This window comes from Homo sapiens, chromosome 5, assembly GCF_000001405.40.
Source record: "Homo sapiens chromosome 5, GRCh38.p14 Primary Assembly".
Classification (NCBI taxonomy): Eukaryota; Metazoa; Chordata; class Mammalia; order Primates; family Hominidae; genus Homo; species Homo sapiens.
In genome coordinates this window covers 120,660,014-120,678,477 of record NC_000005.10, presented here as the reverse complement: position 1 = coordinate 120,678,477, position 18,464 = coordinate 120,660,014, and the positions used below count along the sequence as shown (strand labels likewise).

The 18,464-nt window shown below is 35.5% G+C and overlaps 1 protein-coding gene across 9 annotated transcripts in view; it reads right to left on the bottom strand.

Moving 5' to 3' along the window:
* The window catches only part of PRR16 (proline rich 16), a 330,317-nt gene that overhangs the window by 116,117 nt on the left and 195,736 nt on the right, over window positions 1–18,464 (bottom strand). Inside the window, exons 3-5 of one of the 9 annotated variants that reach the window (XM_047417290.1) lie at window positions 6,250–6,462; window positions 5,085–5,208; window positions 1,559–1,709 (exon numbers count right to left, since the gene is read on the bottom strand). The gene's annotated coding sequence lies outside the window, so the exon portion shown is untranslated. 9 annotated transcript variants of the gene reach the window in all.

The following is an 18,464-nucleotide window of genomic DNA, read 5'->3' as shown; positions in this document are numbered from 1 at the left end:
CTGCACATAGTAAGAATTCACTAAGAATTTGCCTAGTGAGGTAATTGAATAAATGTAGATACTATGGAAAAAGTCATTTGTTGCCTTTATTTCCATCCTACCCCAGCTTTCCATGGTTAGGTCTGATTTTCAACATCTTTAATCCCTCCAATCCCAGATGGCCCAGAAAGACACATAAAAATGGATTAGACAGAGAAAAATATAGAATTGGTGAGACTTGGTGAGCTCTCTTCCTATTTTGCCTAACTCGTAAAGCCTTGCTCCAAAGCTTGACATAAAAAGCAGTTTACAGCTTAATCCCAGCACTTTGGGAGGCCGAGGCAGGCGGATCACCAGGTCAGGAGATCGACACCATCCTGGCTAACACGGCTAAACGCCGTCTCTACTAAAAATACAAAAAATTAGCCAGGCGTGGTGGCCGGCGCCTGTAGTCCCAGCTATTCGGGAGGCTGAGGCAGGAGAATGGCGTGAACCCAGGAGGCGGAGCTTGCAGTGAGCCGAGATCGCGCCACTGCACTCCAGCCTGGGCGACAGAGCGAAACTCCGTCTCAAAAAAAAAAAAAAAAAAAAAAGAAAGAAAAAGAAAAAGCAGTTTAGTCCAATTCCAAAACAACTAAGAGAGTTTAAGTATATACTTTTCTTCAAATAAATTTCCATATAGCACTAAGTGCATTTAGAACCTAAATCTTACTTTTTTAATAAAAAAATATAATTCAATTGCCTTAAGAACAAAACAAAATGAAAACCTCTTTCAATTTGAGTGAATCTTTAGCTCCTCCTTGTCAACAATTCTCAACCACAAGAATTTGCAATAACAAACTTAATGGAGAGAAAAAAGGAACTTAACCCTGACTGAAACCTTTCCAAGAAGATTTATAGATTCCTGTAAGATCTTTAAGATTGACTTAGAAAAACAATCACAATTTAAATATGGTGGCATTATCAGCAAAGAACTGAAAAGAGAAATTAATGGGAGCTATAGGAATTTCTAACAAGAGAAGAAGACCGGTAAATACACTACCTTCCCCTAACTATTTGACCTTTCTCAGTAGCTGAGTCCAAATGCTGGTCGGTAAAAGAACTGTGTCCAACACAGGCATAATATATAGGATAGCAAGTGACATACCCTCCTCTGGAAGAGCCCTCATATAAGCCTAACAGAGGCGAGGCAGGAAGTAGTGAAGTCAACAGTGAGGATATTCCAGCAAGGACACAGTAGGGCCACTTTGCCCTGAGTTCATAGTCATCGCAAACACACTTCATATAAAATGTTAAAAATCTCTACCCACCTATCCTAATGATCTACTGACAGGATGAAAATAAGCACCTCATTATACAGCCTACAACTTCGTGTTCTGCTGCTAGATCACAGTATTTCTGATAGACTGTATATGAATTGATATGTGTGAATAAACACTGTGGTTATCTTCTGAAAGGTAAAATTATATTGAATTCTACTTGTGCTAGAAACAATGTAATAAATGGAAACATTTAAATTATATCACAGTTTGGTTAACTTCTCTTTGGTATTTATTTATTTAGAAGAATCTATACAAACCTTAAAAATTAGGAGTGACTCGGGCCTCTTTTGACTTCTGAAAATGTCCAATGTCCATTATGAAAAAGTCGCTCAGGGGAACTTCACTAAATGCTTTTTTCCAAAGGGAAGACTAGAACTGCATTGGGTTCCTGGGCCTGTCTTTGGACTTCTAGAGGAATCATATTTCGTTAACAATATTATTGTTTCTTAGAGATGAGGCCAATCGACTCCTTACATATTTCCACATTGTTCTTAAGTTCTCCCTATCACCTAAAGCAATTAAGCATGTCTGTCTTTGCTGTCTGAAACATCTCAAGCACCATAATTGTATTATTTAACTCTTTCTTTTTTCCTTGATATATTTGAAAAAGCATACATATATACACACGCACACACACACACACACACACACACATATATATATATATATAAAATAAACATAATCCAGAGTAAGTTAGACAATCTTGATGTTGTTAGAGACCCAAGGTCTAACTTTCTGCTCTGCTATACCAAGGGGGTGTGCTCCATTTTCATGTCCAAATTCAGGAACGGGGCCCCGCCTTCACATATACATTTCAAAAGGTAGAATGAAATAGGGTGGGGAAGTCATAACTACTCTTTTTTAAGGAGATGTTTTAGGAGCAATACATTTTATTTGCTTACATCTCACCAGTCAAAATAAAGTCATCGTGATACATGGATACTGGGGAATGTAGACTTTTATCTGGGATATGGTTCTTCTACAAAATTAAGAAGAAAGGATATTCCAAAGCAACAAGCTTTCTCTGAAAGAGATACTAAAACAAACAGTGACAATAAAATACACACACCCACACAGAGGCACATATCTAATCATACTGTCAGAAAGTAAATATGGAGGATATATACTTAAAAATTTTTACTAAATTCTTTTTTCCAAGTTTTTTTGGAAATAGAGTAAGGTGGATTCTTGGGAGGTGTTGTGTTGTTTCTTTTTATAATATGCATATAAGTGGCAACTTACATCCTGTTCTCTGGAAATAAACTAGATTTTAAAATAGACAACAATCATTATTCATAGTTGAGCCTAATAAATTAAGTATTTAATACCTAATAATATTTTTGGTCAAAAGCAAGTAAAACTATAATGCAGTTTGTCTTATTTTTCTGTGTGTTCAATTGGATTCAATTATAATTTATTGTGCAAGTACTATTCATCTGGTAATATGTAAGACATTGAAGATAAAAAATAAGTTTCTAGTTTAAATGAGACTGACCATATGTACTTCATGTCTTCCTCCTCAGATCATCTTTAAATGAGAGTAAAGAAGTAAGAATAGTAATAAACTCAGAAAACTTTCAGAGAAAAGTGAAATCTAATCAGATATTTTATAAATATACAGATGAGTTAATAAAAAGGTGGAAAAAGTACTGATGAAGTCCCAGAAGGATTTCAAATTTGAAAGTGGAATACAGAAAAAGTGGAAGTGAGAAGTAATACAAAAGTTAGAGTGGGGCATTGTTGAATCACTGTATTTAACAAGAACACATTGTGTCTAATGGCCCCACACTCTTTCACATACAACACGATTGGCAACATAGTAACAGCTAATAACCTTAAAAAAAAACTGAAATCCTTGCTATAAAAATATGGAACAATGTCACTGGATAAGAATGCTCTGAGTACGGGTTAACAGCAGCTCCGAATAAAGCTCTCCATTTTTTTCATTGGGAAAGTCATGAAGATGGAGTCACAGCATCCAGCCATTTGCTCTTGCTCCATATGTGGGAAGATTCTAAAACATCTATATTATAAGAACATATGACTAAGTATCGTGAGATTTTTGAAATAAGCAACAACACAAAACAGAAAGACCAAAATGAATGAATTGATCAATGTTAAAGATGAAGCTGCCATTATTAGTGAACTAAATAGAACTTTGTAGTAAGTCTAATTAATCTATTTAGAGATGCTTGAAAATGTACTGCAGTTATAAAATAATAACACATACGTAAAAAAAGCAATAAAATAAAAAAATTGGAATATAAAACAAATGTTAAATTTTAAAAATATTAATGGCTTAAAAATAAAAATAAAATCTTAGAAATATTATTAAATATAAAGCAAAAATACATTTTAAAAATACAAGAAAAAAGTTAAAAGACATAGAGCAAAAAGATCAATATTGGAGCTTCAAAAACTGATTAAGGAGTTCCAGAAACAGAAAAAGAGAAATTGTGAGATGGTAATAATAAAATAAATAATGGAAGAATAAAAATTTCATGGTTGACAACACAAATGCAGCTTCAAATGTAAAGGGCCAACTGAGTGCTGATGAGAATGAATGAAAAATAAAGAAAAGTCAATTTCAAGACACTCAGAAAAAAATACAAATCACATGATCAATACAGTTTCTTCAGGAGGAATAGACAGTGAAAGACATTTTGCTAGTAACTTCAAAAGTTCCAGAACAAATTATTTCAACCCCAATTTTAATTCCTGGCTAAATTAATAATCTTTTGTAAAAGTAAATTAAAATATTTTTAGCTATTAAGGACAAAGACACTTACTTCCTTCACATCCATTCTTTAAAAGTTAATTAACGAGATATTCTGGCACAATAAAAATGGAATCCGAGAAAGAAGAGATGCATAGGATCCAAGGAACATTACATTTAACCCAGCCTTTTTTGGAGGGCGGGCAGGGGGGCAGAGACAACAGCATATACAGCGGCATGCAGGTATGAAGGACAATTTTTTTCTATATTGGTAAAAAATAAAGTAGGTAGATGGCATATCAGTACCACACATGGCAGAAAAAGCAGTTAAGAGGTTTCAGGAGGCCCTGTAGCGTCGACATGTAAGAGTTTAGATAGTAGTTGAAATTTTAGAGCTCAATTTCCAAAAGATGTGTATTTACAGCATTGATAAAAAAAATGTAGGAAGTATTTGTACATAGACTGTAGATGAATGCACATGTTTTAGTAGGTTTTTTTTTTTTCTTTGAGAAAGGGTCTCACTCTGTCGCCAGGCTGGAGTGCAGTGGTGCAATCTCGGCTCACTGTAGCCACCGCCTCCTAGGGTGAAGTGATTCTCCTGCCTCAACCTCCTGAGTAGTTGGGATTACAGGCATGTGCCACCATGCCGGGCTAATTTTTTTTTGTTTTTTATTTTTTATTTTTTTTAGATATGGGTTTCTGCTATGTTGCACAGGCTGGTCTCAAACACCTGAGCTCAAGCAATCCACCCACCTCATTCTCCCAAAGTGCTGGGATTATCGGCATGAGCCATTGTGCCTGGCCTAGTACGTTCATGTTTTAAGTCTAATTATTTTATAGCCATAGCATAGATAGTATATAGACAGCCCATATCTAAATATAAAATTCCACTCTAGATAAGATTTGTATAAAAATGTTAACAGACACTTGTAGCCTTTAAAAATTACACAAGATTCAGGAGTTTATGTTAATCGAAACACTAAATGATGTAAAAATTTTAACTCTATAATTTGTAAAACAAGATGTTTATGTGCTTTTTAAAGACCCATAAAATAAGACCAAAGTACCTGGTTTCATTTAATTCATTTTGTCATACAACCATAAGCATTTGTGAGCTGCACTTGAAATACGTAGAAATGCCCCAAATCATCATGCACCACTTCTAACTTCTAATTGGCACATGCCGAAATGCTGTTTAGGAAAAAGAAACATAAAACAAGTACTAAGGGAGAAAGTGATACTAAAGCATCACATAGTTCCATATAGTTAAATGTATTGCATGTTATAGTCACTACATGTAATTCTCACATTTACTTGTCTATAAGTTTTAGTAAATGAGGTTTTTACTTTTCTTTCCTTTGTAACAAACATTATCCACAGATTATAATGGCTGAAATGTCATTACTAACTTTAATTCCTGTTTTCATCACCTATCTTGTGATTTTAACAGACTCATGCCTCTACTGAGGCTTCCTGTAAAGTGTGGCAAAGGAAACATCCTTCATCACAATTGCTTTAGTAACCTAATAGATGTACAAGATGCAACTAGTTGCATTTTGTGTGTATACACTTCAAAATGATTCTATTATGTTAATCATGTTCAGAAAGAAATTGTAACTCAAGATAATGGAACTATAAACTTTAACACAAGCTTATAGCTTTCAATATCTATAATCTCTTTTCGTATTTGTGAAGTATGAATTAAACAAATCCTCAAGTTGTCTATTTTAATTTCCCCTATAGATGTTAAACTAGCTCAATAAAAAATATTCTGCAAGCATCACAGTAATGTAATAAGAATAAGAGTATGCTGTATCCAATCCACTCTTTCTTCCATTCAATCCATTCTTTGCCTTGCAGTTACAGAAGACTTTCTTTAAATATGTATCTATTACACACACACACACACACACACACACATATATATCTATAACATAAATTATTAAAAGCCTTTAATTAATTTGCAATTGCTTTTAAGATAAAGACGAAATACTTAATAAAGCTACAATACTCCCAGGATCCAGGTCCTGCCATCCACACCAGGAGGCTCCTGTGCCACCCATCCTCACTCCACACTCTTTTCACTTCTCTTAGTGCTTAGAAGATGTTAAGTTCCTGCCTGTGGGTTCTTATATAAGGCATTCTCTACTTAGGACTAGTTCCTCTGTTTCCCCCCACAACACACACACACACACACACACACACACACACACACACACACAGACCCCTCACCTGCCCTTCAAGAATTAGCCCCTGTATCTCCTCAAGGCACTCTTCCCGATTGCCTTCAAGTCCTGTTATGCAGCCCTAGAGCTCCTGTCCGTGTGCTTCACACCTTGTGCCACTTGGTGATCCAGTGATTCATTGTGTAATTAGCCCCTTAAGGTTTGTCTCCTTGGCAAGACTGTAACCTCCCAAAGGGCAGGAAATCCTGGGCATTTATGTCTAGAATAAGAATATATGTTGAATAAATGAACAATAAACATACAAGAATCAAAGGAAAAGTCTTACAACAAAGTGTTTTTATATTAGACTCTTATTGCTTACATTTTGTGCTTGATTATAAACTTTTGAAGTAATAAATCTGGGTGGTAAATAAGTTATGTTCATGAGATTTCTAACTTCTCTCTTTTTCATACATATATATGTACACACACATATTTAAAAAGTATGGCACTTTCATAGAGAGAAGATTCACGTGATATATTAAAACAAGTTTGAAATATACAGTATTACACTTATCAATATTTTTAAATAAATATTTACATTTACATTAAAATGACATTTTGACATGTTTTTACTTTTTACATCTCAGATACTGAGCAAAATGTTTAGTATACAATGCAAAGGAAGGCAAATTTTAGTAAATTATACTTTATTTGCTTAAATTATCTTAGTATCTATGCACAATATTAAATTACTTGTTAAAAAGATCAGAAAACTCTATCCTCTCCTTCATATCTCAGGCATATATTTTCACTGTAGAAATAATAGCATTTATCATGAATTCCAAGTAATATTACTAGAAATGTTGATACTGATAACACTACTGCATGTAAAGGTAAGATGGTAGGATGTATTCATGATTTGGACTCTCACTAGCTTGAGATGATAAAACTGAGTCTTTTTTCTAGCATTAGTTCTGTACTTTGCAATTTTTTTAAAAGAAAGAAAAAAAGAAACTCTGATATCTGATCTTTGAGAGAAGAGGTAGAAAAAAGTAGGCAACACATTAGGCACAATAAAATGCACAGTAAAAGAAGAAGATTTGAAAAATTAAATGAGAGTTCTAGGAATACAAAATCATCCAATGTAGTACAGTGTAAGGGGTATGGTGTGTGTGTATATGTGCACATTTTAGGATTTTAGTAAATAAGCAGGCAAGCTAGAAAAAGGAGGAAGTGTGTAAAGACAGAAAGGGAAAGAGATGCAGGTAAAGAGGTTTGAGAATGCCTAAGGGTCTTCAACACCATGCTAATGAGTGGGGTTTTACCTAAAGGTAATAGGCAGTCACTAGCAGTTGAAACAGAAAAGTGTCATAAAGCAAGTCATAAAAAAAGGATTATTCTTGTCATAAGCAAATCTACGGAAATTACAGAAAATGATACAAATTGGGAGATTACATTATATTATTTTTGCGTTAGTGAAAACATCTGAAAATCTCTAAAGCCCATCTTTGGAATATCCTCCACAACTTGAGAATACCAAGTTTGGTTCAACCATGAAGGGAGTGTGCTTAGCATGAATGCACATGGGGACATTATCCTTGGTTTAATAAAGGTATACAAGCATTATGATATTCCTTTCTGTGCTAGAGTTCTAGCATTCTTAATGGAGTAAGGGGGTTGCATTTTAAAATATAATACCTTCCTGACTGATTTAATCATCCAGAATACGTGACATGAAAGAGAGGGTTTAATATTTGAAATTCTTGTAGAATAGGCTTTCTAACCATTTGCTCTCACTGTCATGGGGATGCAGAGATATTTTATAAAAATAAGTTACATAAAATTTGAAAACAATGAAAGTCTACATCATAAATATAATGGTCATTTAAATCTGCCAAGAGATTTTGAAAATTGATATTTTACAGCTCTCATTCTGTTGCCAAATCCCAGAAAGACTTCAACATTCACTTTTTTTCTTTATGAAAACAGAGAATTTAGTGGATCCATAGCAAAAGCCATTCATGTTGTTTAATTTTAACAAAACTGTGTTGGGAGATACTATAAATACACATGTTCTATATGTGGTACTGAGAAAGGCAAAACATAGAATATTTTTTCTAACTTCTAAAAATGTTAAGGCAATGAACATATGAAAACTGTAAAACCAATCCCATTGTGAATCTGCATTATTTATCACTTTTCACATGTCCAAATATAAAATTTGCCTACATCACCTACAGTGCATCAAAGACATTACATATTTTGCTTATGGTCAGAATAAAAGTATTGTTTATTTTATGCATTATAACATTTAAAACATTGTAATTATACCCTAAAACCTTTGGTAGTCATATAAACGCCGTTGTTTATCTTCATAAATATACTATCATTAGTTAAAAAAAATCAAAGCCCCCAGTGTTCAAAACGGTATATTTCTATTGTACTTCATTAAATTCTCTATGAATTATTACTTTAAAAAATCAATTAGCATATTTTACGTTGTGAATGTAAAATCTAGAAACACTTTTTTCTTTCAAAACAAGACTTTCTCTTTTACTGAGTTCTAATTTAAAAGAAAAGGTGAAACAATTGTGACGTTTAAATTAATATCATTATTTAAAAAACACCTCTTAAAATATGCTGGGTAATTTAAAATTATAAGTTTGAATAAAATGTTTTGAAATTTCAATTTTAGTATGTGGAGGATTAGATATATGGGCTCTAGGACACATGATTTTCAAATGTAAAAACCAAAAACTAGAGGATAATATCTAAATATTCTGAGTAATTTGTAATATCTACCTATTCTAATAACACATTTTTCCAGAAGGCTAATGTTAATAATTCACATAAGAGCTATATAAGGATTTTTTTAAAAAACAATAAGCCATTTTCAAATACATGACAAAGTAGAGTTGGCAAACTAAATGGGGGAGGTGTATGAACACACCACCATCAAGCAGGGAACTATGGTAAAGAGGGGAGGGTGTGAGGGCCTCATATTGCCCTTTTCCTACGGTTTTCAGAGAAACTTAAACAATTTTTATGTGAAATTTACAGATATTCAAACACTGGGGTAATAATAATAATTTTAAAAACTGATTGAGCAAGTTGTACCAAATCTGCTTGAAGGAGTTCATCAGCACACACACAGTTCAACATTTTGAGACTGTTTGCTTAAAAGACTCAGTGTCATTACACGCAGTCACCACAGAGTTATCCTCTTATGGCACATTAGAAAAAAACACTTGGATAAATCTTCCTCAAAATTAAAATATCTGCATTAGTCTTTCCTAAACAATAAGCTATCATAGGGCATGCCCTTTGCAGACGGTCACTTTATTTTCTTAAAACATTTATTTGATGCGGACGCGTTATTCCCATCAGTTGAAATGAAGGAAAAAATGTTAAGGGCAGCCAGAGAGAAAGGTCGGGTTACCCACAAAGGGAAGCCCATCAGACTAACAGCTGATCTCTCGGCAGAAACTCTACAAGCCAGAAGAGAGTGGGGGCCAATATTCAACATTCTTAAAGAAAAGAATTTTCAACCTAGAATTTCATATCCAGCCAAACTAACCTTCATAAGTGAAGGAGAAATAAAATACTTTACAGACAAGCAAATGCTGAGAGATTTTGTCACCACCAGGCCTGTGCTAAAAGAACTCCTGAAGGAAGCACTAAACATGGAAAGGAACAACCGGTACCAGCTGCTGCAAAATCATGCCAAAATGTAAAGACCATCAAGACTAGGAAGAAACTCCATCAACTAACGAGCAAAATAACCAGTTAACATCATAATGACAGGATCAAATTCACACATAACAATATTAACTTTAAATGTAAATGGACTAAATGCTCCAATTAAAAGACACAGAATGGCAAATTGGATAAAGAGTCAAGACCCATCAGTGTGCTGTATTCAGGAAACCCATCTCACATGCAGAGACACACATAGGCTCAAAATAAAAGGATGGAGGAAGATCTACCAAGCAAATGGAAAACATAAAAAGGCAGGGGTTGCAATCCTAGTCTCTGATAAAACAGACTTTAAACCAACAAAGATCAAAAGAGACAAAGAAGGCCATTACATAATGGTAAAGGGATCAATTCAACAAGAAGAGCTAACTATCCTAAATATATATGCACCCAATACAGGAGCACCCAGATTCATAAAGCAACTCCTGAGTGACCTACAAAGAGACTTAGACTCCCACACAATAATAGTGGGAGACTTTAACATCCCACTGTCAACATTAGACAGATCCACGAGACAGAAAGTTAACAAGGATACCCAGGAATTGAACTCAGCTCTGCACCAAGCAGACCTAATAGACATCTACAGAACTCTCCACCCCAAATCAACAGAATATACATTTTTTTCAGCACCACACCACACCTATTCCAAAACTGACACATAGTTGGAAGTAAAGCTCTCCTCAGCAAATGTAAAAGAACAGAGATTATAACAAACGGTCTCTCAGACCACAGTGCAATCAAACTAGAACTCAGGATTAAGAAACTCTCTCAAAACCGCTCAACTACATGGAAACTGAACAACCTGCTCCTGAATGACTACTGGGTACATAATGAAATGAAGGCAGAAATAAAGATGTTCTTTGAAACCAACGAGAACAAAGACACAACATACCAGAATCTCTGGGACGCATTCAAAGCAGTGTGTAGAGGGAAATTTATAGCACTAAATGCCCACAAGAGAAAGCAGGAAAAATCCAAAATTGACACCCTAACATCACAATTAAAAGAACTAGAAAAGCAAGAGCAAACACATTCAAAAGCTAGCAGAAGGCAAGAAATAACTAAAATCAGAGCAGAACTGAAGGAAATAGAGACACAAAAAACGCTTCAAAAAATTAATGAATCCAGGAGCTGGTTTTTTAAAAGGATCAACAAAATTGATAGACCACTAGCAAGACTAATAAAGAAAAAAAGAGAGAAGAATCAAATAGACACAATAAAAAATGATAAAGGGGATATCACCACTGATCCCACAGAAATACAAACTACCATCAGAGAATACTACAAACACCTCTACGCAAATAAACTAGAAAATCTAAATGGATAAATTCCTCGACACATACACTCTCCCAAGACTAAACCAGGAAGAAGTTGAATCTCTGAAGAGACCAATAACAGGATCGGAAATTGTGGCAATAATCAATAGCTTACCAACCAAAAGGAGTCCAGGACCAGATGGATTCACAGCCGAATTCTACCAGAGGTACAAGGAGGAGCTGGTACCATTCCTTCTGAAACTATTCCAATCAATAGAAAAAGAGGGAATCCTCCCTAACTCATTTTATGAGGCCAGCATCATCCTGATACCAAAGCTGGGCAGAGACACAACCAAAAAAGAGAATTTTAGACCAATATCCTTGATGAACATTGATGCAAAAATCCTCAATAAAATACTGGCAAACTGAATCCAGCAGCACATCAAAAAGCTTATCCACCATGATCAAGTGGGCTTCATCCCTGGGATGCAAGGCTGGTTCAATATATGCAAATCAATAAATGTAATCCAGCATATAAACAGAACCAAAGACAAAAACCACATGATTATCTCAATAGATGCAGAAAAGGCCTTTGACAAAATTCAACAACCCTTCATGCTAAAAACTCTCAATAAATTAGGTATTGATGGGACATAGCTCAAAATAATAAGAGCTACCTATGACAAACCCACAGCCAATATCATACTGAATGGGCAAAAACTGGAAGCATTCCCTTTGAAAACTGGCACAAGACAGGGATGCCCTCTCTCACCACTCCTATGCAACATAGTGTTGGAAGTTCTGGCCAGGGCAATTAGGCAGGAGAAGGAAATAAAGGGTATTCAATTAGGAAAAGAGGAAGTCAAATTGTCCCTGTTTGCAGATGACATGATTGTATATCTAGAAAACCCCATTGTCTCAGCCCAAAATCTCCTTAAGCTGACAAGCAACTTCAGCAAAGTCTCAGGATACAAAATCAATGTACAAAAATCACAAGCATTCTTATACACCAATAACAGGCAAACAGAGAGCCAAATCATGAGTGAATTCCCATTCACAATTGCTTCAAAGAGAATAAAATACCTAGGAATCCAACTTACAAGGGATGTGAAGGACCTCTTCAAGGAAAACTACAAACCACTGCTCAATGATATAAAAGAGGATACAAAGAAATGGAAGAACATTCCATGCTCATGGGTAGGAAGAATCAATATCGTGAAAATGGCCATACTGCCCAAGGTAATTTATAGATTCAATGCCATCCCCATCAAGCTACCAATGACTTTCTTCACAGAATTGGAAAAAACTACTTTAAAGTTCACATGGAACCAAAAAAGAGCCCACATTGCCAAGTCAATCCTAAGCCAAAAGAACAAAGCTGGAGGCATCACGCTACCTGACTTCAAACTATACTACAAGGCTACAGTAACCAAAACAGCATGGTACTGGTACCAAAACAGAGATATAGACCAATGGAACAGAACAGAGACCTCAGAAATAATGCCACATATCTACAACTATCTGATCTTTGACAAACCTGACAAAAACAGGAAATGGGGGAAGGATTCCCTATTTAATAAATGGTGCTGGGAAAACTGGCTAGCCATACGTAGAAAGCTGAAACTGGATCCCTTCCTTACACCTTACACAAAAATTAATTCGAGATGGATTAAAGACTTACATGTTAGACCTAAAACCATAAAAACCCTAGAAGAAAACCTAGGCAATACCATTCAGGACATAGACATGGGCAAGGACTTCATGTCTAAAACACTAAAAGCAACAGCAACAAAAGCCAAAATTGACAAATGGGATCTAATTAAACTAAAGAGCTTCTGCACAGCAAAAGAAACTACCATCAGAGTGAACAGGCAACCTACAGAATGGGAGAAAATTTTCACAACCTACTCATCTGACAAAGGGCTAATATCCAGAATCTACAAGGAACTCAAACAAATTTACAAGAAGAAAACAAACAACCCCATCAAAAAGTGGGTGAAGGATATGAACAGACACTTCTCAAAAGAAGACATTTATGTAGCCAAAAGACACATGAAAAAATGCTCATCATCACTGGCCATCAGAGAAATGCAAATCAAAACCACAATGAGATACCATCTCACACCAGTTAGAATGGAGATCATTAAAAAGTCAGGAAACAACAGGTGCTGGAGAGGATGTGGAGAAATAGGAACACTTTTACACTGTTGGTGGGACTGTAAACTAGTTCAACCATTGTGGAAGTCAGTGTGGCGATTCCTCAGGGATCTAGAACTAGAAATACCATTTGACCCAGCAATCCCTTTACTGGGTATATACCCAAAGGACTATAAATCACACTGCTATAAAGATACATGCACACATATGTTTATTGCGGCACTATTCACAATAGCAAAGACTTGGAACCAACCCAAATGTCCAACAATGATAGACTGGATTAAGAAAATGTGGCACATATACACCACGGAATACTATGCAGCCATAAAAAATGATGAGTTCATGTCTTTGTAGGGACATGGATGAAATTGGAAATCATCATTCTCAGTAAACTATCGCAAGGACAAAAAACCAAACACTGCATGTTCTCACTCATAGACGTGAATTGAACAATGAGAACACATGGACACAGGAAGGGGAACATCACACTCTGGGGACTGCTGTGGGGTAGGGGGAGCAGGGAGGGATAGCATTAGGAGATATACCTAATGCTAAATGACGAGGTAATGGGTGCAGCACACCAACAGGACACATGTATACATATGTAACTAACCTGCACATTGTGCACATGTACCCTAAAACTTAAAGTATAATAATAAAAAAAAAACAAAAACATTTTTTCTCAAATTTTCATTGCCTCATCGCATCTAACAAGATCTGCTCATATGGCCATGCTTCCCAGGGTTGCAGCACGAGTACCTTCCCAGGATTGCAGCACGAGATAAGGATTTGTACATTTTGTTTTGTTTTGTTTTGTTTTCTTTTGAGACAGAGTTTCACTCTGTCTCCCAGGCTGGAGTGCAATGGTGCGATCTCAGCTCATAGCAACCTCCACCTCCCAGGTTCAAGCAATTCTCCTGCCTCAGCATTCTGAGTAGCTGGGATTACACGCATCTGCCACCATACCCAGCTAATTTTTGTATTTTTAGTAAAGACAGGGTTTCATCATGTTGGTAAGGCTGGTCTCGAACTCATGACCTCAGGTGATCTGCCCGCCTCGGCCTCCAAAAGTACTGAGATTACAGGCATGAGCCACCGCGCCCGGCCAGATTTGTCCAGTTTTTTACACATTAACTGTTTTAATCAACATACTAATGAATATAGTTGATTTTTTAAGTAAATTAATTCCACAACTTCAATATTTATTATCAGTAAACAATAGTTACCTTTAGTCCACTTGAAAATGGGTTGTGACCCACCAGAGTCTCATTGCATGTCACTGAGGAACTTTCTATTACAAGTTGTTTTATTGCTTAGCAAAGTGTGCCAAGAGGTTGAGAGGTAGCTTAGACTCAACTGTCTAAAGGAACAAAGTAATAATAATCCTTTCCCAAAAATACATATACTCTACAGTGATATGAATGTGTATAACAGAGAGGCAAGAGCTTCTTAGATAGAAGAAAAGTTGTTTCTAAGCTCATTTTCCTTAACTTCAAGTGTTTTAGCTTGAGCTAAAGTACAAAGTCTACTTAAGATGGCATGATGAAGAATGAAATCTCTAGGAAGTAATAACAAAGGAAAAGTTTCTGGGCAGTAAGAACAAATAATTAAAGTAGACGGTGTGCACAGAAGAAAAGTGGAAATAAAATGACTTATAATTTTTTTTCTTTTACTTTTTGTATCCTGTTCAACCTTTTTAACCTTTTCAACAGCAAACATGCATGATTTTTACTTATAAAAAGTGAGGTCATAGTGAAAAGTTTAGAAAGGAGATGATGGAATAAAGTAGAATTCCCTTCATCAGTAACCAATAAAATCACAAACAGCATAAATACTTACTAGCGGAAACCAAAAAAACTAAGAAGGCATAATTCACTGTGTTGAGTTTGAAATACTATCAGCTAAGGGAAAAAAAAAGGGGGGTTTTATCTTGACTTGGTACAGACCCTAAAACTGGCCTTAAGCCTCACACTGGTACCAGTGAAATAACAAAAGCCCTCGCATTTTCACAAAGAATACCAAAGATGGACAGTGTATAGGGCAGACTGCAGGGTTGACAATGGTGAAAGAAGAACGGTGAACAGGGACTGAATTATTGAGGCAGAAGTGTGGGGTCACACTGGACAGTAGGAATAATACAACACAGAAAGACATTTCCCACAAGCCTATGATAAACCCTGAATGTGGTGGTGGAATGAACTGGAACACATGTACTTATTCTACAATAAGTACAAAGAGTAGAAATTCCTTGATTGTCCTCCACCCCTATTCCTGCCCCCAAGGTCCCCAGGCCTTCAAGCTATAGGACTGTGTCTGGAATGAAATAAGCTCACCTTCGTGCTGGGCCTTGCCTAGGAGGATCATCAATCTTAGACATGAGAGAAACACGTTAAGGAAAAGTTACCACACTTTTCAGGTCCAGTGGAAGTTCTTAAGCAGAGCTTTTTAAATTAAACATAGCAAGATGAAAAGAATTGGCAAGGTGACTCTATAAACACTATTGTGATATGGTGTGCGGAAGGGGAGAAAAGAAAGAAAGGAATACATAGTGCAAAATGCAGATGAAGAGCTGTTTGGAAGAGAAGAAAAATTTCCCTGAGCGTTTTGTGCTACAAAAATACATAAGATATACACTTATTAAAAGGGAATAAAATAGAAGAGGAATTGAAGAGCTAAAGAAAAAAACTGAGTTCCAGAATAGTACTACTGACAAACTAATAAATAATATGCATGAAGTAAGATGGAGAATAGACATGATTGCAACTGAGTTATCGTCATAATCACTGTGACTACAGAAGGGAAAAAATCAGATATTTCTCACACAGACCTGTTCCTAACATTTCCAAAGCCTATGGTAAGAGTAAAATACAATATATCCAAATATTAAATAAAGATCATTTCAAGGTAAGAAACTATTTTAAAATGTTTACATATTCTATCCTGTCACCTTGAAAAATATACCTTAATAAAAGATCTGAAAGGCCAATTATTTTAGACAGAATTTATGGATAACTCAGCATTCCATGTCAGGATGTAGCAGTGAAGAACCAACCCTAGCTACCAAGGCCTGACTATAGCCCATTACACTCCATTTTCCACCCCAGCTGTGCCTATACCATGAGGAACCTCATATGTACATATGTGGATACCCCAGCCCACATTTCCAAGCTCTTTCCATAGTCCCTGCAAATAGTCAAATTGTTGAACCATTTCTTAGGTCTAAGGATAAACATACTAGTGGTTCCTCAGACAGAAAATTCATGACAAGGAGCTACTACGAGTCCTTGAAATGTGTTTTAAAACAATGGTTGGGGAATTCCAGGGTCTTGGGTACTGTAGCGTGATCTAGAGGGGAAATACAGACTTTGGAAATACAGATTTTAGGTGGACAGAGATGCTTGGCCCCATATAGCAGCTGGCAGAGGACAGAGTAGAGTGTTCTGGAGGACAGTACCCAAGGCAAAGATCTCTCTGTATTAAATTTAAATAAATTAGAAAGGAAACTGAAAAGGAAAGAATAGGTATGGAGGATATATAAAGTTGATATACATCATAAGGAATGCTACTTTTAGGATTAGTTCCATATTGACTCCATTATTACAGAACAGAAAAAAAAAGAGTATTCAAGAGGCTAATTTCTCTGAAAGGAATAAACTACTGAATTTGGCCATTTAAATTATACAACGTGTTCCAATAAAATCTGTTGGCAAACAATTGCCACTAAGAAATTATCCAGCACTTCAATGGAACCAAGCAAAAGGAGCAATTCAAGCACAAGGGAGAAAAGTCAGGTTGGTCTCAGATTTTCCCAGCAGAGCAACATCAAAAGACAGGAGAGGGAATAGCAATGGGTACAAAGCTCTGAGGAAAGAAAGTGTGACCCAAGAAAGTCATATCTGGTTGCTGTAAAGTGTAAAGACAACAGACATAACAGTTTCAAACCTCAAGTACCCAAGAAAGATATGAAGCTCAAAATGTACCTTCCCAAAACATGAAAGGACAAGCTATGATAAAGAGACTGTAGCAACATTCAATGTCCTGGTGTCTACACATTGTGAAGAAAATATGCTATCTTGGACTACTTTAAAATTGCCAAGTTATCCTTCAAGTATAGAGACAACTGACAGAAACTCTCAAAGATCTAAGAAAACACAGATTACAAAATCTCAAACATTTCTTTAAAAACAAACACACAAATAAAAAAGCAAAATGACTTGACGATATACTTGACACCATAGGATCATATCAAACATAGAAAAGAATTTCAAATCCTTTTTTTGCTTTTTATATTCCATAATCACTAAATACTATCATAATTTAAAATAAATTCTGAAATTACACCATTTATGCAAATTCTAAAAACACACATAAGACTGCATAATGTCATGAGTGCCTATATAGTAAAAGTTCAAAAGCAACAGGAAAGATAAGCTACAATGTCAAGGAGATGGAGGAGATTGGCTTGACAGCAAGGGAATCAGGGGTTTTGTTGTATCTGTGTCATTTAAATAAGAAAAGAAAAGCCCTAGGCAAATATGTCAAACAAGAGCATGTCTTAAATCTGGATCATTAGTACCTTGTATTATTATATTATTTTCTGTTGTAACATATGCTTAAAAGTGTTCATAATTTAAAATGTTAAAAAGTGAAAAAGTATTGGCTTGCCTTACCATGGAAAAGTTTTGAATACTTTAATTCTATAATATGTGAGATTATTTAAATGTAGATTCTCAGTTAAGAAAGCAAATAAACATAAAGGGCACTGTGGCATGCTTCCTTTAAAGTGATGTCTGTCAATGACAAAATTTAGAATTATAAAATATGTTGCCACTAATATCATATTATTTAAAATGTGTTGACAAGAACAAAACTGTTCCTAAGAAATACAATTTGAAATTATGTAATAACTGTAACATATATGTTTGAGGACTAGAAGATGGAAAATTTCTAAGTATACTATAAAATTCTTGGTTTGCCTAAAGTTGTGAGTGTCTTATACTGTCCTTATTCTAGTTTCATAAACTTAGGATGAGTTTAGTAACGAAACACTCTTCTATGCCCTACACTCCACACTCAATCTGGATGGAGCAATCTAAGCCATGAGGAAGAG